This window comes from Homo sapiens, chromosome 2 (genome assembly GCF_000001405.40).
Source record: "Homo sapiens chromosome 2, GRCh38.p14 Primary Assembly".
NCBI classification, from domain to species: Eukaryota; Metazoa; Chordata; class Mammalia; order Primates; family Hominidae; genus Homo; species Homo sapiens.
In genome coordinates, this window is record NC_000002.12 from 224825135 (window position 1) to 224852741 (window position 27607).

The 27607-nt window shown below is 41.4% G+C and overlaps 1 protein-coding gene across 24 annotated transcripts in view; it reads right to left on the minus strand.

The window, feature by feature from the left end:
• DOCK10 (dedicator of cytokinesis 10) overlaps positions 1-27607 on the minus strand; it is a 277379-nt gene that overhangs the window by 60045 nt on the left and 189727 nt on the right. For all 24 annotated transcript variants that reach the window (XM_047444930.1, XM_047444929.1, XM_047444922.1 and 21 more), the window contains 10 exons: positions 27243-27308; positions 24373-24465; positions 20385-20508; positions 20069-20190; positions 19619-19705; positions 16670-16762; positions 14820-14938; positions 12628-12697; positions 9016-9129; positions 5407-5478 (listed from right to left, as the gene is read on the minus strand). In XM_047444930.1, coding sequence (XP_047300886.1) covers positions 5407-5478; positions 9016-9129; positions 12628-12697; positions 14820-14938; positions 16670-16762; positions 19619-19705; positions 20069-20190; positions 20385-20508; positions 24373-24465; positions 27243-27308 — 960 coding nt within the window. The remainder of the gene's footprint in view (positions 1-5406; positions 5479-9015; positions 9130-12627; positions 12698-14819; positions 14939-16669; positions 16763-19618; positions 19706-20068; positions 20191-20384; positions 20509-24372; positions 24466-27242; positions 27309-27607) is intronic.

Sequence of the window (27607 nt, forward strand, 5' to 3'; positions counted from 1 at the left end):
CACCTGGCTAATTTTTGTATTTTTTAGTAGAGATGGGGTTTCACCATCTTGGCCAGGCTGGTCTTAAACTCCTGACCTCATGATCCACCAGCCTCAGCTTCCCAAAGTGCTGGGATTACAGGCTTGAGCCACCCCGCCTGGCCAGACTGGCTTCTATTTTTAAGCCACTTTACCAGGACATCACTGCATGGATATTTTTGAAAATTTCATGGTTACTCTCTATATATTTAAAATTTATTGTTGAAATCAAATAAATTAACAACTAATGAACTTAACTGATTTGATCACACACAGCATTTTTAAATTCTCTTCCATAAAACTTGGGTAATAAAGGTAAACAATTCACCTACAAAAAGCAACAGTCACCTTTTAAAGAATCAAAGCACACTTTTAATTTTCAATTTTCGTTTTGTTAGTCCTCTAAAATTCCTTAAGCATATCATACGTACATTTTCCCCACATGCATATGCATGAATGCCTTGGGCTTTAATATTCCATTTGTTCCTTCCTCTTTACACCTTCCTCTCAAAGTCTCCTGTGGCCTACTCTCACTCTGAACCCAAAGATGTCTGCCTAATAAATATATGAGTACTTTTAAAACTGTTTTCCCGAAGTATATCCTAAAGACTCGAGGTGGAAGAATTCCTGCACTGGAGATTGTGAATTTTTTGTCTCAGGAGATGAAGGGAGTGAGATGGTGGCACACTTCCCAAGCTGCAGAGCTGGACCATGATGAATCTGAGCTACAGCATGGCGAGGTCAAGGGGAACAGGCCTGGGATGCATGGGCAGAACTGTAGGCTTTTGGGAGTTTTGTTAGAAACAAGGAGGATGATGGGAAACAAAAGGTTTAGCTGGTTCAATGATCCTTTTGCTACTAGAGAATAATGTTGAGAAAACATTCAGTGGTTCCCAGGAAATTGTTTTAGTTTGTTTGTGTTTTGTTTTGTTTGAGACAGAGTCTCTGTGGCCCAGGCTGGAGTGCAGTGGTGCAATCTCAGCTCACTGCAAACTCCACCTCCCGGGTTTAAGCAATTCTCGTGCCTCAGCCTCCTGAGTAGCTGGGATTACAGGTGTGTGCCACCACATCCAGCTAACTTTTGTATTTTTAATAGAGATGGGGTTTTGCCATTTTGGCCAGGCTAGTCTTGAACTCCTGACCTCAGGTGATCTGCCCACCTCAGCCTCCCAAAGTGCTGGGATTACAGGCATGAGCAACTACACCCAGCCATTCCCAGGAAACTGGAACTCACGCTGGCCAAGTGCCCAACAACATTGCACCTTTTAGAGGACTAAACCAGATATCTCCCCTGACTTCCTCAGATCTTCCACACTTACTCCTTGGATGATGGAAATTCCTTTAATAGTGGAGAAAACCATTCACTTCACAATTTAAAAAGAAAAAAAAAAGAAAATACAAATAGCTTGGGAAAAGTTTACTGTGAATGCTTTGGTGTCAAATGATAATATCAGGGCTGGGTACAATGGCTCACGCCTGTAATCCCAGTACTTTGGGAGGCTGAGATGGGCAGATCACTTGAGCCCAAGAGTTCGAGACCAGCCTGGGCAACATGACGAAACCCCATCTTTACTAAATATATATAATTATCTATCTATCTATCTATCTATCTATCTATCTATCTATCTATCTATCTATCATCTATCAATCATCTATATGAAATTAGCTGGGCTTGGTGGCCATGCCTGTAGTCCCAGCTACTAGGGATGCTGAGGTGAGAGAATCACCTAAGTTGGGGAAGTTGAGGCTGCAGTGAGCTATGATTGTGCCACTGCACTCCAGCCTGGGCAACAGGAGTGAGACCGTGTATCAAGGGGAAAAAAAAATGGGCCATGCGTGGTGGCTCATGCCTGTAATTCCAGCACTTTGGGAGGCTGAGGTGGGTGGATCACCTAAGGTCAGGAGTTGGAGACCAGTCTGGCCAACATGGTGAAACCCCGTCTCTACTAAAAATGCAAAAATTAGCTGGGTGTGGTGGCATGCACCTGTAATCCAAGCTGCTTGGGAGGCTGAGGCAGGAGAACCACTTCAACCCAGGAGGTGGAGCTTGCAGTGAGCCGAGATCGTGCCACTGCACTCCAGTGTGGGCGACAGAGCGAAACTCCGTCTCAAAAAAAAAAAAAAAAAGTAAAGAAAAAAGATGATATCAGGTCTTTTCCCACTGTGATGATTAGAGATGGTTAGAGTGGAAGGTGCAGGGCTCCTGAAAGAAAACTAGGGTGTGAGGGTTACCACTGAAAGGGGTCACGGAAAGCAAACCTCAATCGGGGAAGATAAACTGCTGGACACAATCATGCTGGCTATTATCAGTTCATTTATTCTTAGGCTGCTCACAGGTGTGTTTTGTGACCTGTCTATACAAGCAGATGCATACTGGTAGGAACTAGAAGAGAATTTTAGTCCAATCCACTCTTCTTACAGATGAGAAAACAGGCACTGAGATGTTAAGCGTCGTTTTCGTCAGCTAACAAGTTAGTGACAGAGCAGGAATTGCAACAGTGAGGTTTCCTGACCCCAGTAGAGCTTAACAACAGAGAGATACGAACCATTTTTACCTTTGTGTTAGATTTTCTCTCCCTCCCAGGTAGGAGGCTCTCATCTCCAGAAGTGGAGAGCAGAAATAGCAGAAAAGCAAAAATAGGATTTGCGAGTTAAGAGTTATGGAACTCCACAGATGATTAAAGGTCCAGCAAGCCATTTCTGTCATACTAAGATCAAGGCCATGGTTACATAGACCTGGGGCCTAGAAGCATGGATGAGGACCTCTGGATGGATGACTCTGAGGAAGTGGCTCTGCACACTTCCCTGAAGCCTTAGTGCTAGCAGAAGTTTAATTCCTCCCTATTAAGTGTCAGCACTCCTCCCATGCAAGATGATATTGCAAAGGCCTCTCCCTGCTAGAAATCAGGCAAACCCTTGAGGAGTTGTCCCGCCTCTCCTTCTGGTGATCAGGGCAATACCTGGAGGTTAAATCCTAGCTTAACCCAGCTGGGGGCTTGCTGGGCCTAATAAAGCAGGAAAGAGAATATACCCAAAGAGGCTATAAAAATTAGCTATCATGTACCACCAGGAGGTAGGGCAGAACCTCTGCAATTGTACATTGAGGATGTGGGCCAGAAAGTAAGGGCAGGTAACTTAGAATGCATTGACATGGGTGTGCTTTTTCAGAACATGGGATTAAATAAGGACTCACGGGATGAGCAACTCACTGCTAGGGTTGCTCTGAGAATCTAGAGATGGCCTACTTTAAGCAAAGTCGAAATGTCTGGTTGTCCTGGCAGAGGATAGAGGAAAAAATAAAGAGGTGGAGGGAGGTGGATATACAGGAATGGACATTAATTGAGACTGGAAGATCCACCAGTGTATCAAGTTCCCCAGGCAGGCCCAGAAGACAGCATGCACCATGGCCACTAAGAAGGTGCTGGGGACCAATATCATTAAGAAGGTCAGGGGTGTTTCCCATCTGTTGGCAGGAGGAGCAGTCACAGTCTTGGCTCATGAGCAGCCATGGGGATCAGGGATCACCAAAACAACAGAGGCCATGTGCTGTGCTTAATCTCCAGGAGCCAGGGGGCTGTGAGTATCATGACAAATGACAAGACTGGTGGGGAAGCCAAGAGGGACCGACTCTCAGGGAGTTGTAGAGCTGGTTAATGATGACTGGAACTCCTAGGGACAAAACAGAGAGCAACCAACAATGGTGGTACATCATATTAACAAAGAAGGCAAGAATGGGCAACTGGAAGATGGGGATGTTCATTCCAATGAATAGTCATGGTTCCTTTGTCTGTTCCTGGACCTGAGTCACAATTCAGATCTGGTACACATTGACTGAAGAGGTGATGGGGTCCCTAAAGGAAAGCCCCCACTGCAACAATGCAGTAGATACATACTGTAATGAGTCTATCAATTCTTCTCCAAAGGGCCCTATAGCCATTTACTCAGGCTACTGTACACTGAGAAGAAGGGCATATAGTTCAAGGACTGTTGCACACAGAATCTGAGTTGACATTGATATCCAGAAATGAAAAGCATCACCATGTCTGCCCTGATAGAGTGGGGACTTACAGGGATTAAAGGTGGAGTCCTGACTAAAGTTCTGTTAACAGTAGATCCACTGGGTTCAAAGATCCCCCCAATAGTCATGTAACTGGTCCCAAATGTATAATTTGTATTAATAAAACTGGCATTTGGAGTAAGCTTGCACGGGTGCTTGGTCTGTGGAGGTATCCTAGTGGGGGAGGCCAGGTGGGAGCTTCTGACACTGCTTCTTCCCCACCAAAAGAGTAAATCAAAATAATATAACTGTACACCACCAACCCCACCTCATGCAGCATTGTTATGATTTACCCTCCACGTGGGGCAGGGGCAATGCCAGAGGTCTTCCCTTGGCCTTACCCACAATGGGGGCTCAGAGAAATGTGTGTGGAACTCAGGTGATCTACCTGGCTGCTTCTTGGTCTTCCTCACTCCATTGTAACTGTGAATGGCCATAGGTACCAACTCTGGTGTGAGTAGAGTATGATGACCAGAGGCTGAGACCACTCTAGAATGAGGGTTTGGGTCATATCACCAGGTGAGTCACCAAGACCTTCGGAGCTGCTAGTTAGAGTGAGAGGGATCTAGAATGGAGAGTTGGGATGGGAGATGATGAGTAATACATAGGCTCCTGAAAAGCCATGGAAGGGGCTGTAATTAATTCCATCAGGGTCCCTCTTCTAAGCTTCCTTTCAGGAGGGGAGGCCCATGGGAACTGCAGGGAAGCAGATTCATGAACTTGTACAATATGTCATGCAAACTTGGACTGTGGCAGCCAGGAATGCACATCGCTCAAATGTTCCTTCAAGACAGAATCTAGTGGGAAGAATATAAAGAGTTGCTGTATCTTGCAATATGCTCCAGCATTCATGCCAAGGCTACCCTCCCCCCAGGCTGCTCCCAGTCAACGACTTAGCTTGCAAAGGTCCTGGAGGCCGATGGCCTTCCCAGTGCAGGGTTCCTCTAATGACAACTCTTTGCTCTCAGACTTCCCATCAGCCCAGCTAAAACCTTGTCACTGTGAGACTCTTCCTAGCCAATCCTCCTTCCTTCCCCCTTTTCATTTACAGGTATCAGACTTTCCCATTTCTTTTTCCTGTTCCTTTTATCCTTTATAGTTATTTCCCTCCAATACATCTTTTGCACTTCCAATATTGTCTTGGCATCTGCTTCTGAAGGGCCTGTGCCGGTTGGTGTACACAATCATTTCTTCTACTTATAAAGTAATTATTGTAAACTGCTAAGGTTTATAAAGCAAATAAAAATGGAACTCATGACAGCATAATCATTAGTGTAATTGTTGGATAATATTGTAAAAATATTATAATATTATATTACTTATGTTCTTACCTGGATTTTATTTGTGTCAATCAAGTGCTGTGCCATCGATTTTAGGATAATTGCAAAGAAGAACCAGGAATGCTGTTGGGAAAAAAAAGGCAACGAGACATTTATTATCCTATGGCAAAATAATGATAATTTTTTCTTTGCAATATGTAATACTATAACATTGTTATGTTAAAATGTATTCTTTGAAACTAAATGAATTAGAGCAGTAAAATATTCTCTATTATAGTGGGATGATTTTTATCTCAATCCTCTCAAAAAATGTTTAAACTAAAACAAGTTACAAGTTTATTTGGCATGACTGACTAAGCAGTTGTTTTACAAAATATTTATTCAAGGGATGTTCTAGTTGTTTCACCTAGTTAAACAAAACTAAACAAACTTTTATTTATTTATTTATTTATTTATTTATTTTTTGAGACAGTCTCACTCTGTTGCCAGGCTGGAGTGCAGTGGTGCAATCACAGCTCACTGCAGTCTTGAACTCTCCGGCTCAGGTGATTCTCCCACCTCAGTCTCCCGGACAGCTGCGACTACAGATGTGGTCACCATGCCCAGCTAACTTTTTGTGTTTTTTCGTAGAGACAGGGTTTTACCATGGTGCCCAGGCTGGTCTTGAACTCCTGGGCTTAGGTGATCCTCCCGCCTCAGCCTCCCAAAGTCCTGGGATTACAGTTGAGAGCCACCAAGCCTGACCTAAACAAACTTTTTATTGTACCAAGCTCACCCCTCAAATTTCAAAGGTTAGAGGTAAGGGTGAAAATGGAAGGTCATATGTCTAGATATCTAGAAGTTGGAAGTCAAGCTGAAAATGTGTTAAATAAAATATGTTTGATCCTCCTACCTCGAGAAACAAAACTTCATAACACCTTGGAATGCTGCCCCAGGGTGTGAGGTCCTGGGGGGCACAGGGCCTGGCCTGCCCCTTTTCTTCTCGCCCAAGGCTCCGTCCTGCCCCTTGAGGGGCCTGGTGCGCATGTGTTAAATACTTTAAAAAACAAAGCTTCAAAACTTATGTCACCTAAATAACTCAATCTCAAAATTATCTGCTCATGCCAGATTTTGTCATGAAATAAATGCAGGCCCAATGATAAGAGCAGTACACACCTGTTCCTACTTAGGGCTTTGCAGAGGTAGGGCCTTGTACGCCTGAGCTCTTTTGGAAACTGTCCAGCCTGCACATCTGAGTGCTGTCCACAACCTGGCCCTCCTCCCTGCCGCAAATAGCTCCTTAATGGGGTCTAGGGTTGCACTCAGGCATCAAGACCTGTCCTCTGGAGGTCCTGGAGGGCTTGGGACAGAGATTGAAGCAGGCCTGGAAATCCACCTATAGGACCTTGAGCAAGAGGGTCTTGGGGTTCCTTACAGGTCTAGAAGGGGAGGTAGGGGCTCCTGGTGGGCTTGTTCTCTTAGCTCCTCTTAAACCTTGGCCTGTGAGGACAGGTGCAGTATGAGAAGAACAAAGCTCATCCCAGGATGGGCACCCTTCTTTCTTGGGCCTAAGGGTGACACTTATCTCAGCTACAAAAAGTCATATTGTATATGTATAGTTTCAAGAACGCACCCCTTGCATCCTCTCTGCTTCCTACTCCTTCCACCACAGATAACAGTTTTAAATTTTGTGCTAATCATTCCTTTGCTTTACTTCACAATTTTGCTACGAATACTTATACAATGAAGGGATATTTAGTTCATCTGGCCACTGAACTTCATAAGAATGGAACTATCCTCTATGTATTCTTCTGAGATTGCCTTTTTCATTCAACAAATTCTGTTCTGTGGTTCGTTTATGTTGAAGCACGTAGCTGGGGGGATCACATATGGTCACCACATGACATATATAATCACCATGTACTTATCTGCTCTACTGTCAATGGGCATTTGGATTATATCCTGTTTTAAGTCATACAAACAATGCTGCGATAAACTTTTGACAAGACAGTCCTAATTCCAGAAGACTGACTCAGATAAAAAAGAGAAGGGATTGATATTCTACAAAGGCAGCTATGGCTTAATGAAGTGGTCACTTCTTAGTAAGAAGAAATGGAAATGGCTACCAATACTATTCTAGCACTCCAATAGCATTCTAATGGCTATTAGAAGTGAAACATGTTGTTAGGAATATGAATGAATCCCAGGCACACTGCTGCAATCCTCTTTCCCTAATCTTGTCCAAAATATTTTGAGCCATCGTGTCAAGTGTTCCAACATTTGTCTCTTAATTCAACAGACTCCTACCCCTCTCCATCCCTTAGCACTCTGGCCTGCCTCCACTATTTTCCTTGAAACCACCAGCACTAATGAAATTGAGCTTTTGCCTGTTCACGTCTGATGACAGATGAAGCCTCAACTCCTCTACTGCCCTCTCCACATATTCCCTTATATATCTGCACATTCCACTGCTTCCAATCTCCTGAAACCCACCCACCCCACCTTCCAGAGCACATGGTCCATCGTTAGCACAATCTCTTGAAGATGCAATTCTTCTCCGAGCATTCCCTTCACTCCATATTTTAACTGAGCAGTGACTCTCCCCAGAGGATCCTGCTTCTCTGATAGCCCCTCAAGTGGTTGTGGTCTCCATTTTTATCCCACTGTAGTCGATTCTCAACACAGCAATCAGAGGGATCCTTTTAAACCAAGGTCAGCTTGGTTTAAAACATTACTCCTCTGTGCAAAACCCTCCAACGACACAACTCCCAGTTCTGCTCTGAGTGGGAACGCCTGGCCTATGCTAACTCCCAAGCCTCCAGTGGCTTCCATGACTTCATCGTCCATCTTTTTTTTTTCTTTCTGCTCACTTGGCTCCAGCCACAGTGTCCTCCCTGTCTCCTGCCACAGTGTCCTCCCTGTCTCCTGCAGACACACCAGCCATGCTGCTGCCTGATGACTTCACACAGGTCTTTCCCTCTGAGCATCCCCATGGCCAGCACCCTCTTCGCCTTCAAATTTTTTTTTTTTTTGCTCAAGAATTACCTCCTCCATCAGATATCCTGACCATTCTATTTAAAACTTCAAATCTCCCCTGCACCTTCAGCACTCACAATGCCCAATTCTTACCTGTTCTACAATTTTTCTAATGCATCTTCTTTTCTAACATACAATATCTATCTATGTATCTCTCTCTCTCTCTCTCTCTGGTCTTGTTGCCCAGGCTGGAGTGCAATGGCATGATCTCGGCTCACTGCAACCTCTGCCTCCCGGGTTCAAGCGATTCCCCTGCCTCTGCCTCCTGAGTAGCTGGGATTACAGGCATCTGTCACCACTCCTGGCTAATTTTGTTTTTGTATTTTTAGTAGAGATGGGGTTTCACCATGTTGGCCAGGCTGGTCTTGAACTCCTGACTTCAGGTGATCTGCCCATCTCAGCCTCCTAAAATGCTGGGATTACAGAGGTGAGCCACTGCACCTGGCCCACTCTACTTTTTTCTATGTTGTCTCGATATAGATCTCTTTTGCTTAGTATCTTTATATGCTAAGTTTCAATATGAACCTTATGCTGGAAACTGCAAGAGAAAAAGTCTATGAAAATCCATGACTCCTATCATTTTCCAGGAGTAAGCGTGACCCATGCCTAGTACTCACAGTTAAAGGACCATCTTTAAATTCTTACCTTTAGGACATGCTTTACTGTTGTTGAGTCATTTGATTTCAAAAGACCAGTCACATTTTTAGCCAGTTCCTCATGTACAGTCCTCTCCTTGCATGCCCTGGTCTTGAACACGAACTGAAGAAAATCCAAAAAGTGAATAAAGTTAAATACTTTGAAAAATGAAGCTTCAAAAACTATGTCATGTGAATAACTTATGTCTCTAAATTATCTGCTCATGCCAGATTTTGCCATGAGATAAATGCAGGCCCAATGATAAGAGCAGTACACACCTGTTCCTATTTAGGGCTTTGCAGAAGTAGGGCCTTGCTCACCTAAGCTCTCCTTGAAACTCTTTGTAGAAATCAAGAGAAAGAGCCAGAGAGCCATTTAGCACGTTCAAGGAAACATGGAGGGCTTTGACCCACCTACTTAGGACACATTCCCCTTCTCCTTCCTCCACTGGTAACAGGTGGCATGGTAGCAATTCTTCATCCTGAAAGGGTAGAGCACCCACTCAAATAGCCAAGTGGGGAAGCCAGTGCCTTCCAGATGCCAGTACGTGAGCTCCCCACAAGCCCAGGGTCTATGATCCCATGCTTAGACACACTATCAAGGCGTTCATGAACATTGGCCATCAGTAAGATAACAAATGCTGCATACTTATTTTTTTTCCTCAAAAAATTGGTTTTGGCATGCACCACTGAGGGCACATAATGGCTAGTTTTCAGTATTTCTTCATCTCTTAAGAATATCAGTATCAATTTATGCACATACATAAAGTTCAAATATAAAATGCTTATTACTGAATTATAATATTTCACTTATGAATTGGGTTTGCCTCGTGGAAGGACATTTCTTCATAATTTTCACAATTCGGATTTCACCGTAATTGAGAGTGAAGGCAGGAAAGAGAAGGAATGGCTTAATGTAGAGGCACATTAGCTTTTGGATCTGTAACTGTTTCTTTAAACTTTGTAGCACATTGGCACCTAACTTGTCATGGTGGGATTTGACTTCTCCAAGCTCATCTCAAAGGAGAAAGATGAAGTTAATGGATGCATGAAACTAGATAAAATCAAGAGTAATACAATTTTTCCCTCTCATGGGTTATACCTCAGATGTGAGTAACGTCATCATCAATGAGCTCATGCCATGCACAGTTATTTAGCCTGAAGGGCATTTAAACTGGCACTGAAATATTCTTATTTTAAAATTTTGACTGTAACCCATCAGTGCTACAAATCACTGTTAACCATGGCATTTAATTAGACTGGCTTTAGACACGCATCTTTGAAAAAGACACGGTGTATGTGTGCATTTTGCATATTGTAGACGAAGTGAGTTAGCAGCATTTAGCACCACTGAACTTGAAATGGTGTTTAGATAACTTCTAAATAAATACAAATTGTATTGAATATCACATCTTTGGAGGACATTCAAGCACGCACTGTAACAAGAGTCCAATCACAGGATGATAGAACTGAATGTTCCTTTGGTCATTTCATCTCATGTCACAGGAGAAAACTGAGGTTCAGAGAGGCTGACTGCTTAAGTCTAGAATTGACTAGAATCTAGTCTCTTACTTGCCAGCTTAGTGTTCTTTCCCGAGTAAAATGCGAGTTGATTACATTTATTAGGAGGTATTTGTTTTAGATATGTTAAAATTTATTATAAAATTGTTATCAGCCTAAAATTCCACATAGGTGTATTTTTGGATTTGAATCACTTAAAGCAAGCTAAGTAGATAATCTCCTGTATTATAAAGTGAGATGGTCTTGTTGGGTATTTCAGATACCCTGGTTAAAAATAAAGGTCACGCCAGGATGCATTTCTAATGCATCTCTCCAGGAGCGTCACCGGTAGAAAGTCTGAGATTTGAGGTATTCACAAAGAGCTAGCCTTGGTAATCACAAAAATAGTCACAACACCGGAGGGTTCTTAATGTAATTTTCAATGATCCCACTGACATGAGGAAAATAATATGTGTTGAAATGGAGATGCCTGTGTGTAAGATGGATCAGTAACTTTTTTTCTCTTTCTCAGTCCCTTTAAGGATTGAAATGAAACATTCGGGTAATGAAGCATTGAGAGGGTGAAAGTTCTCCAGGTGATTCTGTTGAATGGTAAATTCATCGATACTCTATAAAACTAAGCTATGACCCTATCTTAGGGAGCAAACTAAAAAGGCTTGTGTAGGTGGAACTGGCTTTTTGCAGTTGAGATGTGGATCTTATTGGGTAAAATTATACAATAGAGAAATTATTGTGAAATAACTATTTTTGGCATATAGCCTATGTTTAAAAAGGGCACATACTCATGCTTTGGCATTTGGGAAGACAACTAACATTTCTGGCAGATAGAAAACATATGGATATAAAAACTGTAATGAAAAAAATTTCCTTACAGATGGTATCTCAGAGGGGTTCACTCCAGAATGCAATTTCTGGTTACTTCCTTTTATGGGAGTGTGGAATTTTTTTTTTTTTTTTGAGATGGAGTCTTGCTCTGTTGCCCAGGCTGGAGTGCAGTGGCACAATCTTGGCTCACTGCAAGCTCTGCCTCCCGGGTTCACGCCATTCTGCAGCCTCAGCCTCCCAAGTAGCTGGGACTACAGGCGCCCACCACCACGCCTGGCTAATTTTTTGTATTTTTAGTAGAGACAGGGTTTCACTGTGTTAGCCAGGATGGTCTCAATCTCCTGACCTCGTGATCCGCCCGCCTCGGCCTCCCAAAGTGCTTGGATTACAGGCGTGAGCCACCACGCTTGGCCGATTTTTTTTTTAACAAGTTTCTAGACATCTTGAATATATGAGTATCTGTCTGTGCATACATATTAAGAGAATACAGTTTTTTGATGAAAAAGCTATGTCTCAAAAAGATTTAATCTATGCATAGGAAAAAAAATAAGAGATTTAGGTCCTCTATGTATTATAAAGTAATTTAAGATACTCTTCTGTATTTCTGGATGGGTTCTTTCTTTTCATTCAAGAGGATGACATTTAGGTGGGAACTATGAAAGTGCAAACATCATCACAAGTTCACTGGCATTAATCCACAGGCCAACTGGAAATGAGAATAGAAGCGTCTCTGAGTGAACACTTGACGTAGGACACTGGAAGAAGCAGTGCACACTGATGGAATGGGCAAGTGGTTCATGCCAGAAGATAAAGGACTTAACATACCAGAAGCAGGTACAAATATACAGTAACTGGGAAAATGAAATAATGCCTGAGGAAACAATAGAAAGAGCTAAGAAAGCATTACAGAGGAAACACAGAGCATTCAACAAACCAACAGGAAAGTCTTCCTTAAATTAACACAGGAATCTCATGTACTTGTAATGTTGACTTCAAAAGGACAGCACTTTAGTTTTCTCCTCTATCTTTTTCTTTCCTCTCTCTCCCCATTTAATTATTTATGTGCACAGGTACACATTATTTATACATTTAAAAATTCACCTAGCCCATTAATGCAAAGAGATGGAATTCTAAGTAGCTAAGGCAAATTCCTGATATTACTGTGGTGGGCGCCACTCAGTTAAAGGGAGAAAACTTCCCACTTACTGCAGACAGGAAATGAGACAAGTCACACAGCACAAGGGGATATGAGCAATTTCCAAGAGGCATTTCATACCTTAATATATGACTGGACAGAATGATCCAGCTGCTCCTCATGGCACTTGGCCACAATGTCGGTCAGAACCCTGCAAAAGCAAAGCTGTTCAGTGGCCTTTCTGGAGAGGGCAGAAAAACCCCGCTTTAGTTTGTCATTACAGTGCTTTGTAAATTGGGTATTTAATAATTACTGGGTGAATGAATGAACCAATCTCTGACTCCTTCCTTGCCCTCCTCAGCCCCATATCCAATACTGGGCATTTAATATCTATAGCATCAATGAGCCATTTCCATCGATTAGCCATTTCCAACTTTGAAACTTTGAAACACAAAGATGTAAGTAGTGTTGTAATATCACAATGGAGACTTTTTGTCCAAGTTGAATGTGCTAATTATGGTCTGTGCGTTTTTGACATTATCTTTTTGCAAAAGGGATTATTTTTAGTGCCTAATTAAAATTTTAGACTTTTAATTTCAAATTAATAATCATATTTCATTTGAAGAGGGCTTGCCTTCCAACCTATAGGCACTATATATGCTTTTGGAAAAAGTAATTAGGTTAAGATGCAGTTGTTTTGTTTTGCTTTGTTTTTCCCTTAGCTGGGTTGGGGTTTCTAGCAGCAATGATGTACAGGTGGATCTTTTTTCACATTAACACTACCAGCTGCTCCATGGCTATAGTGCTTAGGAATATCTCAGAATTTCAACAGATCTATCAGCTGCAATATCTAGGAGTCTTGCCAACACAGAGACACATTCACATGCTGAAAAGAGCATGAGTTGAAGGCACAGCTGGGGACTTTTGATGCAGGTCCAGAACTGGATGGTTGTGAAGCCATTAGAGATATTTAAATTGTCCAGAATTTCAGGCTCTGCTTTAAAAACTAGGCTACAAACCCTCATTCAGAAAGAGGTCAGTAATATGCCTGTGAGTTAGAAAGATACTGGAAACATTTCAATGCCAAAAGTAACATTTTTTTCCAGAATGCTATGACTAAATTTTTTAAAAAAATGAACAGCACAAATATATAATTTAATAATTAATTCAAAGCACTATCTCTATAAAGAAGAAATTGTGATTTGTGAAGGCATTGGCCAGATTAGAGATGTTGGAAGAATTCAGTATAGCCAAATTTAAAGTGAGAACAGTTAAAGCATTTAATACTTAAAAAAAAGGTTCTTGTGGGAATGCAAAATTATACAGCCACTCTGGAGAATAGGCACTTTCTTAAATATCAAACATGCAACCACCCTGCCCCCCAGCAATTACACTTTGGGCATTTACTTAAGAGAAACGAAGACTTATGTTTACACAAAACCTCTACATGAATGTTCATAGCACTTCTTTTTTTTTGAGACGGAGTCTTGCTCTTTCACCCAGGCTGGAGTGCAGTGGTGCAATCTCAGCTCACTGCAAGCTCCGCCTCCTGGGTTCATGCCATTCTCCTGCCTCAGCCTCCCGAGTAGCTGGGACTACAGGCACCCACCACCACGCCCGGCTAATTTTTTGTAATTTTTTTTTTTTTTTTTTTAGTAGAGTTGGGGTTTCACCAACTCTACTGTTACATGTTAGGCAGGATGGTCTCGATCTCCTGTCCTTGTGATCCACCGGCCTCGGCCTCCCAAAGTGCTGGGATGACAGGCGTGAGCCACCGGGCCCAGCCGTTCATAGCACTTTTATTCATAACAGCCCTAAACTAGAGACACTCCAAATGTCCTTCAACAGGTGAATAATTAAACATATGTGGTGCATCCACATCGTGGAATACTACTCTGCAATGAAAAGGAGTGAACTACTGATAGATGCAATGATCTGGATGAATCTCCAGAGAATTATGTTACATGAAAAAGCCAATTACAAACATTTACCTACTGTATGATTCTACACCTGTATGGAAGATGTTGCCAGTGGGGAAAACCAGGTAAAGGGCACATGGGAAACTCTGAATTATGTTTTACAATTGCACATGAATCTACCGTGATCTCAAAAGAAAAAGTTTAATTTAAAAATCAAAGAAAAAGAGGTCTAACACTTTACTACTAATAATAAGAGATTAGAAGGTAAGGAGTCAAGAGTGGAAAATGCTTAAATTTGAGATGTGTTCAAATGAAATGTAAACACACAACAGTAGATGACTGTTTAGTTATAATTAAGAGTTTATGTAACTACACATTATAAAGTCTCTCCTCTTAAGGTTGTGTTATGGATACCTGGTGACAGTTGTAGTTATTTCATCTTCCTCATTCTGTACCAGAACTTTGAAGAGCTGATTCAAAATTATAGGCAGAAAACTCATGATTGCATGAATCTTTTCCACATTCAATAAGTTCTGTAGTAAATTGGCAGAAAAAAAGGATACCAATTAAATTTGAAGCATGTCCTACATTCAAGACCTGAAACTATAAATCTATGAGAAGAAAACATAAGGAGAAAAACTTCGTGACATTAGACTGGGCAATGATTTTTTGGATATGACCCTCAAAGCTCAGGCAGCAAAGTGAAAACAGACAAATGGCATATCAAACTAAAAGGTTTCAGCACAGCCAAGGAAACACTCAATGGAGTAAAGAGACAACTTTACTCCATTGAATGGAGGAAAATATTTGCAAACCATACATCTTAGAAAGGGTTAATATCCAAAATATATAAGGAACTCAAACAACTCAATAGTAAGAAAACAAATAACCCAATGAAAAAATGGGCAAGGGACCCAAATAGACATTTCTCAAAAGAGGGTGTACAAATGGCCAACAGATATATAAAAAATGTTCAACGTCATTAATCATTGGAGAAATGCAAATTAAAACCACAGTGGGACATCACCTCATATCTGTTAAAATGGCTGTTGTCAAAAAAGGTGAAAGATAATAATTATTGGAGAGGGTGTGGAGGAGAAGGAACACTTGCACATTGCTGGTAAGAATGTAAATCAGAAGAGCCACTATGGAAAACAATATGAAGGTTCCTCAAAAAATTAAAAATAGCACTACCATATAATCTAGCAATCCCACTACTGGATGTATATCCAAAGGAAATGAGATCAGTATGCTGAAGATGTCTATTCCCATCTTTACTGCAGCACTATTCACTGCAGCCAAGATACAGAATCAATCCAAGTGTCCATCAACCGATGAAATGGGTAAAGAAAATGTGGTACATAAACATAATGGAATACTATACAGCCTTAAAAAGGAAGGAAATTAGGTCATTTGCAACAACATGGAGGAACCCGGAGTATATTATGCTAAGTGAAATGAGCCAGGCACAGAAAGACAAATACCGCATGATCTCATTTATATGTGGGATCTAAAAAAGTTGAATTCATAGAAGTAGAGAGTGGAATGGTGGTTACCAGGGGCTAGGGAGGGGAGTGCTGGGAGATGTTGATCAAAGGATACAAAATTTCAGCTAGATAGATAGGAGGAATATTGCACAACATGGTCACTATAGTTAATAAAAATGTGTTATATTCTTAAAAATCTCTAAGAGAGTGGATATTAAGTGTTATAACCTTAAAAATTATAAGTATGTGATATAATAAATACAGTAATTAACTCAATGAAGCTGTTACATAATGTATACATATTTCCAAACATCATACTGTATACAATAAAGGTATATAATTTTTCTTTGTTAATTAAAAAATGAATACGTTAGAAAAAAATAAAGTATATTCTGCTGGTATTTTTTTCAGAACTTGAGTATGAACACTGTAGCCCACCTTTATCTGGCTTTATTCTTTATTGCAATTAGTATGGAATATAGGCATGATGGTAATGTTGCAAGGACTCGTGATTTAATAATTAATTTAGAATAAATTGATTCTGATTTTCAATTATTTTTATTTTGGAAAAAACTGATTTTTGCTTGTCTTTTAAGTCAAGAAACAGAAACTATTCAGAAATTATGAAATAAAATCATTTACTCTCTGAATTGATAAGGTATTAAAAAATCTTGAGTAATAATCATCTCCCAGTTTGCCCATCGGTGGAAAATGTAAAAGTCTCTTTTGCACATTTTTACCCTGGAGATCACTGAAACTGCTTGCATGTCATGTTACCTTACAAGAGCGGATGAAATTTGAGGTAGGTGACTGAGACATATCTTTCTCTCTTTTTTGGCACTCTTGGAAAAATGCATTCACATGTGGATCCTACAACAGCAAAAAAAAAGTATTTATTTCTGATGACACGTAAACCGTGTTACAAACACAAACCACTGTGATGTGAGGTAAGCATTTCTGTAGGATTGATGCCTCGAAGTGCAAATGCTTTATTAAGGAGTCAGAGGAACAAAGCTTTGATGTGGACATTTCTGGCCTAGTGAAGGCTCTGCATGAACTACAAAGCCCACTCTCTCTTCTATTTCATTCTAAGAGGTTTTGTTGTTCTATTCAACCACATGACAATGGCTGGAGAATTACTTCCCTTGGTTGTGCTTTTTGTGTTTAGAAAAATTTTCTTCATTTATCTTCCCACTCCTGCTTCTTCCATAGACTTCTACCAATTTCTTCTATACCATCCTTGACACACATGACAATGCGTACTCTTTAATATCTACAGGGCATATTTTTAGGCTTAGAATGCCTGAATTAGCCCCAGATTAGAAAGTCCACAACTCATTATCTTAGGATAGAACTGACTATAACACTTGAAATTTACTTCCAGAAGGTGGTACCTGGAAAATTCTCTAAGTTCTGCCCTGAGGGTGGGAGCTACACAGTCAGGCAGTGAGATAAAGAACTTGTGTGAGGACACACTCTGAATGTTTCCCTGGCTTTCTATGATTCCAGAAAGGCATTTGTAGCTTGGGTTTTCCTCATTTCCCTCAGGCCACTGTGTGTGTGCGCGTGTGTGTGTGTGCCCTATTTTCTCTTTTCTAAGTGTAGCTCTTTTTTGACTAGAGACAACTGTTTTCCCTTTAAGTATCAATTCATTGATTCGTCTATTTGCTCATTATTTATGGAAAGCTGACTGCATACCAGGGTCTTAGCAGGCACTGAGGGAGGACAGAGCAGAGGGCAAGGAAGGCCCAACCCCTTCCTCTGTGTACCTTCCATTAAGGCGGGGAGGCCAGCACGACACCACTACTTCCACACACACCTATGTAATCACATTTGATGAGCACTTCAAACACAAAGCAGGTGCCATCTGGATGAGTGACAAGATGGCCCAGCTTTGTCTGTTGGGTCAGGGAACAGGGAAGGCTTCTTAGAGGAAGTGACAACTGAGCTAAGATCTGAAGGATGGGTAGGAACCAACCAGACCAACAAGGGGAAGGGGGGTATCCACCCCCTGCAATATGGTTTGTAATAGCCACGGTGCGGGTGGGGGTGGCGGGGAAAGGGGAGTGCAATTACTCCCCATATTGCGGGGAGTGTCCACCCCTGTGATATGGTTCATAATAGCCAGGGAGGGAGAGTGGGAGAGCTTCCCTTCTCCACTGAGGAGGGGCTGAGTGTCAAAGGGATCACTGGGTCTTGCGGGAACTAGGTGGATATTGTTTGGCTGGAGGGCCTTGGGTGTTTGAAAACTGAGGTAAATGCTGCCAGTGCATGGGTAGTGAGAGTCGAGGTAGAGAGAGGGTGTGTTGTGGTGAGTCAGAGACCTCAGCTATTTGGAGAAAGCAGCTGGAAGCATGAGAAAGAGAAACTGAGGAGCTGCTGAGATATACAAAAATATAGGGTTTGGTGGAGATTGAGTGTTTTGTGGAACTTGACCAGGGCTGATGGCATCAGAGAAAAGATGGGTTTAAATCATTGTGGGTGCAGGGCTAGGGATAAGAAGTCAATTGGACTTGAAGCCTCAGAGGTTGCCGAGAGAAATTTTGGTCCAATGTATATACGATGCCTGGATTATTTCATTTTTCTTATGGATCAAGTATGGCTTACAGATAAAGCAGCATGAAGCAAAAAATGAAAAGCAGATACACATTAAACTTAAGAAAGGAGAAATACATATTTTATGTACTTATAATAATGTATAGTTTATATCTGTTGCCAGAAAACTCACATTGTGGTAAAATAAGCTGCCTTGCCACGGAAGGAATGAGTTTGTGGTAATTTAACAATGGTAATAATTATACGTGTATAGACTTTCGCACTTCATGAAATATTTCTCATTTTGATCACATTTTGAAATATTTCTCCTTTGGATCACATTTGCTACAACCTTAGGTAGCAGAGACTCTGTTGATATCATTTCTTGATGAGGAAATAAGGATATCAGAGGTAAAGTGACTTGCCCAGGGTAATGGAGCCAGAAATTAGGTGGGGTGGCTCTCAAATGCAGTTCTGCCAACCTCATGGCCTTCCAATTAGGTGAGCCCTGGGAAGGCATTGGGGATTGGACTTGGTTTTCAGGTAAAGATCTGAAGTCTGTCTTTATTTTTTTATTATTATTTTTGAGATGCAGTTTCGCTTTTGTTGCCCAGGCTGGAGTGCAATGGCACGATCTCAGCTCAACGCAACCTCTGCCTCCCGAGTTCAAGAGATTCTCCTGCCTCAGCCTCCCAAGTGGCTGGGATTACAGGCATGCGTCACCATGCCTGACTAATTTTGTATTTTTAGTAGAGATGGGGTTTCTCCATGTTGGTCAGGCTGGTCTTGAACCCCCGACCTCAGGTAATCTGCCCGCCTCGGCCTCCCAAAGTGCTGGGATTACAGGAGTGAGCCACCGGGCCTGGCCTTTATTTTTAACATTTAACATTTTTAACACATGAGTGTGGTCAGTGGAAGCAAACCATACTCCAAGGGGAGTGTGATCCTATTAAACACACTTCTGGTATTTTGGTCTGAAGTTTTATGGTGTCTGGGCTTAAGGGATTAGGACATTCTATCTGTCTTGAGGGAGGCATCAAATTATGCCCTTAACATTCTTCCTTTGTAGTATTCAAACACCTGCCTTTCTGACACTTCATGAAATGATTAGTCTCATCCTGTAAATAGGGGAATTACCTCATGATGCTGTGAGTTAGAGAAGATGCTAGTATTTCAGGTCAACATACTCACCTGAGTATTTACTGTTGATACAACAAATGTCGACACTTTGAAAAGTGGTTTGCCACCATCAACCCATTTAATGTCACTCCCACCATGCTGCAAAATAAAGTTTGTTTACTGTCACTGGGACAATTCGAGAGAAAGAAAATAAATAGATTGTTTAGTTTATGTTAATGTGCTGTTCTGATCCATTAATCTTATATCAGCTACAGGTGGAAAATAAAAGATGCAAATACATTTAGCACTATTGGTAGATGAGACCAATATGACATCGGGATCATTTTTAACATATCATTTCCAGTGGCCATAAGCTAAACAAGAGATGTGGCATAGGTACACTTGATTCATAGCTACAAGGGACATGTCCACTATGATCTTAAGTAGCAGAGAAAGAAGATAATCTTATGCCATTAAGCTGGTGTGCTTTTTTAAAATCTTAAATTACACATTATTCAATACCTTTCCACTTGCAGAATCTTGAAAGCTTAAATAATTAGGAGGCAGACTTGTTGCTATTGGGATGTTGTACTCTTGAGAAGCTATCTGATCGTGTTTCATCAGAGGAAGCCAAGCATATCCAACTGTGCAAAAGAATAACCAACAAAAATTCTGAGTACAAACCTCCATGGTAAGAAGTCACAATAATGCTATTTATTATTTACGAACACTAAATTTCATGAAAAATAATTCAATAAATCAGGGCTTTGAAAACACTCTCCAAACCAATTCAAACAGAAGACATGTGACTCTGCCTCAGATTTCTTCCTGGCAGTACCTGACGTTTCCAGAGCCTCCTTCTTTTTGGCATTAGCTTTTGCATTGATGTCACAGGTGACGTGATAAAAAGAAAACAAAATATGGTGTTTCTCATGGAGTTGTGTTGGTAGCTCAATTTTCACCTGCAACGAAAGAAACCATAGTTGGACTGAGATTAAAATCATTTGCTCAATATCAGAGCAAGACAAAGCATAGCTTTTTAAACAATCTTTTTTTTTTTTGAGACTGCGTCTTACTCTGTCACCTACGCTGGAGTGCAATGGCACGATCTAGGCTCACTGCAACCTCTGCCTCCTGGGTTCAAGCAATTCTCCTGCCTTAGTCTCCCCAGTAGCTGGGATTACAGGCACACACTATCATGCCAAGCTAATTTTTGTATTTTTAGTAGAGACGGGGTTTCACCATGTTGGCCAGGCTGGTCTCAAACTCCTGACCTCAAGTGATCCGCCCGCCTTGGCCTCCCAAAGTGCTGGGATTACAGGCATGAGCCACCAAACCAGGCCTAAAAATTCTTTAACTGAAATCTAGGTCCATGTTTAATAGTGCTGGATGCACTCATTTAATGCTCAATAAATATTGTTTCTGCTAGCAGTGATGTATTCACATGTTGATATTTTTACTTTTTTATTGTGATGGATGATGATAATTTAGAATACTTAGTGTTTCTCATTAGATAATTCATGCTACTAGGGTATGGACTAAATACATGCACATACATATGCATAAACACACACACAAATGTAACTGCAGAATATAGATAAGACACACATCAAGGAACTGTCATTAAGGGACACGAATTGAATAAACAGTAAGTCCGTGCCTCCCAAAGTGCGGCTGGGGACCAGTTGCATAAGCATCACTTGGCAGTTCATTAGAAATGCAGAAGTTTTTTTTTCATTTTGGAGACAGGGTCTTGCATTTGTTGCCCAGACTAGAGTGCAGTGGTACGAACACAGCTCACTGCAGCCTTGACCTCTGGCTTTTTTTTTTTTTTTTTTGAGATGGAGTCTTGCTCTGTCACCAGGCTACAGTGCAGTGGCACGATAGCTCACTGCAACCTCCGCTTCCTGGGTTCAAGTGATTCTCCTGCCTCAGCCTCCCGAGTAGCTGGGACTACAGGAGCACGCCACCACACCTAGATAATTTTTGTATTTTTTGTAGAGATAGGGTTTCACCATGTTGGCCAGGATGGTCTCAATCTCTTGACCTTGTGATCCACCCGTCTCGGCCTCCCGAAGTGCTGGGATTACAGGCATGAGCCACTGTGGCTGGCCATGACCTCTGGCTAACTTTTTGATTTTTGTTGTTGTTCTTGTTGTAGAGACAGATGTCTTACTTTGTTGCCTAGGCTGGAGTCTCAGACATTAACCTAGACACACTCAATTGCAATCTGCCCTTTCACAGGATCCCCAGACAATTCATATGCACATTGTTGAGTAATATGGTATAGTAAATGATGCAGCTTCGGCATGGAATTGATCTCTTTTTTTAAAACTAACAAACATATCTGTGTTACTGTGAGAACTAATGAGACATTTTGGGAACTGACCATGCCGTAGCTATACAAATAATGCTTCTGAATGCAAATAAAATAAAAATGGATCTAGGTAAACAATATACTGAATGAAGGGCATACTCCCTATTTCTGGAAAGAATTGTTTTCAACTAACTGTTTACATTTTATTGTGCTTTTGAGTTTTCAAAGCCCTGCCACGTACACCATCATTTCATTTTCCCCAGTAGCCTTGTGAAGTAGCATGGCACAGTGTTAGGAAGCAGGGCTGCACATGTTAGGGGGCTCTGAGTTACTGTGCAGGTGGTGTGGTCAGTAAAAGAGGATCTTTCAGGACAAGAACCCACATCTTGGGATGATCACTTTGCATTGGAACTCCGGTAAGCTGCAGGCAGCTCAATCTCAGCAACTGAGTAGTTCCCAGAACTGTCCATATTCTCATGTGAAAAAGCTCATGGCTTTCATGAGGCTTCCAGGAAACACATGAGAATGAGAAAGATTAAAACAGTTAACAACAGTAAGAATATTAATTTTTTTAAAAATCATATATCTACAGAAAATGCATCTTCCAGATGGGCTTTGTCAACCAGTTGACCCTTTGGCCAACCAATAGCAGTAAATATTGTGTAATGTGGTCATGGTTTTTGCTTAACTGTTTTTCACTTTCTGTCCTGAATTTGTGGGGGAAAAATTAAAGAGCACTAAACGCATATGGAAGAGTGAAAGAATGTCAGGCAGGTAGTTTCACTGATGTTCCTTTAATTGGTTTTTAAATGATTAATGTGCACAGTGTGGGAGACAGAAAGACAGCACCCACTAGATGTCCTGAATGTTCTAATCCTGCCAATATGCCACCTTACCTGGTAAGTAGGACTTAGCAGATGTGATTAAGTTAAGGACCATGAAATGGGGAGATTATCCTGGATTTTCCAAATGAGCACAGTGTCATCACAAAAGTCCTTATAAGAGGAAGGCAGAGTCATAAGAGAAATGATACAGAAGCCGAGGTCAGAGTGATGGGATTGTTGGGAAGGCTCAAAAGCCAAGAAATGTGGGCAGCCTCTGGAAGCTGGAAAAGGAGATGAACTGGAACCTTCCCTAGAACCTCCTGAAGGTTCGTCACCCTGCTGCAAGCTCGATTTTAGCCCTGTGAGTCATTTCAGACTTCGTACCACCAAAACAGCAAGATAACAATTGCATACTGTTTTAAGCTGCTAAATGGTGATAATGTGTGAAAGCAGCCATAGAAAACGTCTACAAAAGCTGTGATATTGTGAATCTCAGGCATCCCATCAGCAGGCTGCACTAGTCAGACCTTCACTTTATGGTTAGAAATTAAATTTTTTCACTGAAACTTCTTTGTCTAAAGTTGTTTGTAACGTAAGCTAACATGTATATAGTAATTGACCATGAGCCCAATGACTTTCTATGTGTTAGAGCAGAATGGTGAAGCTTCAGGCTGTGGAGTCACATGGTCTGGTTTGATTTCTCTCACTTATTATGTGCCCTTGGTAAAGTTACTTGACTTCTCTGAGCCACAGTTTTCTCATCCATCAAATAGGGAGGTAATAATAGTGCCAACTTCTTGGAATTACTGTGGGGATTAAGGGAGATGATGTGTGCATGGAATTTAGCTTGAGGCTTGGCACACAGCAGGAGTCTTGGAAGTCTGCCAGGGCAAGGCTTGTTCCCTGTCATGTTTAGAGATGACGGGATCCAAGCTCCCTTAAGTTCAGGCATGTTATAAGCCATGGAATTGGCTCAGGCTCTAGTTCTCTGTTCTCTTCCTTATGACATGAAATGCTGCCATTCATTGGTAAAGCTATTTAACACAATCTCTTCACTAGTCAGTGAAATAAAAGAAAAAAAATTATTCACTGAAAAAGAAAAGAAGACAAGATATATCCCAGCACTAAAAGCATCTTTTTTTTAAATTTAAATTTTAATTTTTTTAGTTGAGATGGAGTCTTGCTCTGTTGCCAGGATGGAGTGCAGTGAGTGGCATGATCTCAGCTTACCACAATCTCCGACTCCCTGGTTCAAGCGAGTCTCCTGCCTCAGCCTCCCGAGTAGCTGGGATTACAGGCACGTGCCACCACGCCCAGCTAATTTTTGTATTTTTAGTAGAGACGGGGTTTCACCATGTTGGCCAGGATGGTCTTGATCTCCTGACCTTGTGATCCGCCTGCCTTGGCCTCCCAAAGTGCTGGGATTACAGGCGTGAGCCACTATACCCGGCCAGCATTCCATTTTTTTTAAAAGGTCACTCCTGTCCTGAAATACATGAATTTGCAACGTACTCCTGGAACAACTGCCAATTAATATAGTTTAGAAATATTGGTAAGTACATACCTGCCAAGGCATGTCCTTAGTCTGATGAGGTCTAGAGAGAGTGTTTTTCACTGCACGGTTATCTGAACATTTACCCACCTTTCTTAGGAACCGCTGGGGGCAGTGGAGGGCTAGCTCTTACCTCATCTGAGAAATCCGGATTCTGAGAGTGGTGCAGAACTGCTGTGTAGGCGGCTGAGGTGAAGAGGGGCCCTCCAGGTTTTCCATAAATACACTGTTTGAAAAGTTATGAGTTGAACAATTATGAGTGTCTGAAATTATCCCTGGGTGAAAAAAAAGTCCATAACTCTTCAGTACCAACCCTGGGACAATGGCAAACTTTGTGATAACTTGCCAGGCTAAGCTGGCATCTAATTAACCTTGAACTTCTTTGGCCTACTACCCTGCATTTATTATACAATGAAAGCTGCTGAAGATAATTTGATGGCTTTCATTCATCATATAGTTAATACGCCAGGGCCAAATACCTGTGGGACAGGAATAATACAGGGTGGCCACAGGAGAACAGAAAATTCCAGGCAGAGGTTTCACATGCCTAGCAAAAAGGATACTGTTGAAATAGCTGCAAAAGTCAGTGGCCAATAAGACCCTAAAAAATGAGATGCGGGCCAAGCTGGTTAAGACCAACTGTACCCAGCATGGTGCTGGATTTGACCTAGGTTTCTCCTAGGACCTCATTATATGCTCATTGACATACTAAATCACACTCCCCCCAGTACCTGGGCAGTTCTAAAGTTTCTTTAGAAATCTTCATGAATATAAAGAAACCCATAAAGGTAGAAGCCCTAAACCTTTTTGCAGATGACTATCTCTCTTGAGTACACCCACACTCTTCTTTCCTGAGTGTGTTCTTTTTGCTTTGCAGTAAATCTCTGTACTTTCACTATTTTCTGAGTCATCCTTGAAATCCTTCTCATGACAGTGTCAAGAGCCTATTCACCGGCTGGGGCTGGGATCCCAAATACACTGTTGAAGAAGTTATGAATTGAACAATTATGAGGGTCTGAAATTATCCCTGAGTGAAAATAAAAGGCCATAACTCTTCAGTTACCAACCCCAGGAAAATAACAATGACTCAGACAATGACCTGGGACAACGGTCAGTGTTTGCGGACCTCCCCTAGCCTATGGGTATCACCTGGACCAATCTGACTCTTGATTTACATGGAATAAGGGCTAACTTGTTTAAGACTGATTCCTTTAGAATGGCTTCCTGAACAGGCCTTGATATGGTCAGGCTTTTCTCCCCACCCGAATCTCATCTTGAATTATAATCCCGACATGCCAAGGAGAGGAAGTGACTGGATCCTGGGGCCGCTTCCCCCATGCTGTTCTCATGACAGTGAATGAATTCTCAAGCAATCTGATAGTTTTATAAATGGCAGTTTTTCCTGCACTCACACATGCTCTCTCTCTCTCACCTGCCACCATGTAAGACATGCCTCTTTCCCTTCCACCATGACTGTAAGTTTGCTGAGGCCTCCTCAGCCATGCAGAAACTGTGAGTCTATTAAATCTCTTTTCTTTATAAATTACCCAGTCTCGGGTAGTATCTTTATAGCAGTGTGAGAATGGAGTGATACAGGCCCCATGGAACCAGCTCTGGTCTAGAGTTAAGGTCTTGTGCAACCACAAGGCTTGGATGGACCCCAGCTCCTGATACGCCAGCTTCCAGGATAGGGCTGGTTACCATCTCCACCACAGCATGCTACTATTCTGTCCAGCCCCAAATCAGGCCAGGGCTGTGATATGGCACTTCCTTATAACTTATAAGCCCCCTTTGTCCAAAGCTCAGGACCCCTCTTCTGGAGTCTGACAGTTAGCTTTGCTGTATCTCTGTGTGGTATTTTAGAATGCAGTGAAGCAAGGGACGCACATGTGATTGTTATTCTTTTCTAGAATTTTCCTCACAAAAACACTGCTCTACAGGCCAAACGTGCTTGCCATCTGATCATTGCCTCTGTTTGCCTGACAATTATATTTCACTTGAATTTTTCTCTCCTGATGCTAACACTATTTTGGAGTTGGGTGCCAGTGGATGCTGACAGTGGCTCAAGACCTTCTTTTTTTTTTTAAAAAAAAAAAAAAAGACTCTTTTTTATATTTACCTGAATTAATTGCTTGATTAATTCAATCACTCAAATTGATTATTGTTCTTCTGAATAATGCTACAAATTAGAGGACTCAATTTGTACCAGGCAGAGTGCTTTAAGAGACTACCACAGAGAATGGTGGGGGTTAGTTAGAAATTAGTTTTGTCCTCTACTACCTCATTCCTTTGATTTGCCGAAGCTGGTAAGATTGGCAGCAGGCCCACTACAAATAATTTCCCCCTCATTTTTTATGGGTTACTTTATGTTGTTTGAAATCCCTAAAATAAAAACCACATACTATATATCAAATATGAACTCTAAAAAATGCCATCCCGTTGCAGCTTTGTAGAGTGAAACACCACAGTTCCTACAAACCTCATAGTTTTATGGATCTTACTAAATCATGTGATCAGCAACCGGGACTGACTTCCCAGAGCCATTTTTCCAGTTCCTCAGGCACTTGGCCACGTGCACCTTCCATAATGTGAGCATCCCACGGGTCCCCCACATTAGCTATTGGGCCAGTATGCGGCAGTTCTGCGTAGACCATACGAGGGCCGGCTGGGGTGTTCTGTTTTAAATCAAGCACGCCGAATCGAGAGGCAGGCTAATCTTTGAAAAAGGCAACATTTTCCACAGGGGAGTCTTGGCATTTATTTCACATGAGAATGGTTTCCTTTTTTCCCAAGTCGTGAAAAGCTAAAAGAGCTATGAGAGAGGAATTTCTAATAGATCTAGTTAATGAGGACTGTTAAATCAGGTATGTTTCAGATCTAAAACAAATGTATTAAATTACTGCTCTTTCAACCACACTCACATAAAAAGCCCTGCAATGGTGGAAAGAATCCCTGCACCTGCCTTCCCACTTTATGCTGGGTCCCTTTGCTGACTTGGCTCACCTTCAGGGGCTTGGCACTTTCTTCATCTGAATTTTTGAATTCAATGCACACAGTTATATTCCGTGCCTGAAATTACGGAGAGAAAAAATGGAAATTGTAATTTCCTATCAAATAACATAAAAAACCCAAGTGCCTAAAATAAGTAGCTTCTAATTAATCCAAAAAATGTAAAATACCCAACATTTTCTTGTGACATTATCCATAATCTTTTGAAATAACAGAAGGATCTGGAGAGTGTACTTAAAAGGGAAGTAAAAAGCTCATATTGAAAGGGGGCAGGCATGCTATTTTTAGAATATCTTAAGAAACTAAAAAAAATAGTCGAACAAAATTATTTAAGACTGATTTAGAAAAGATTATTAATA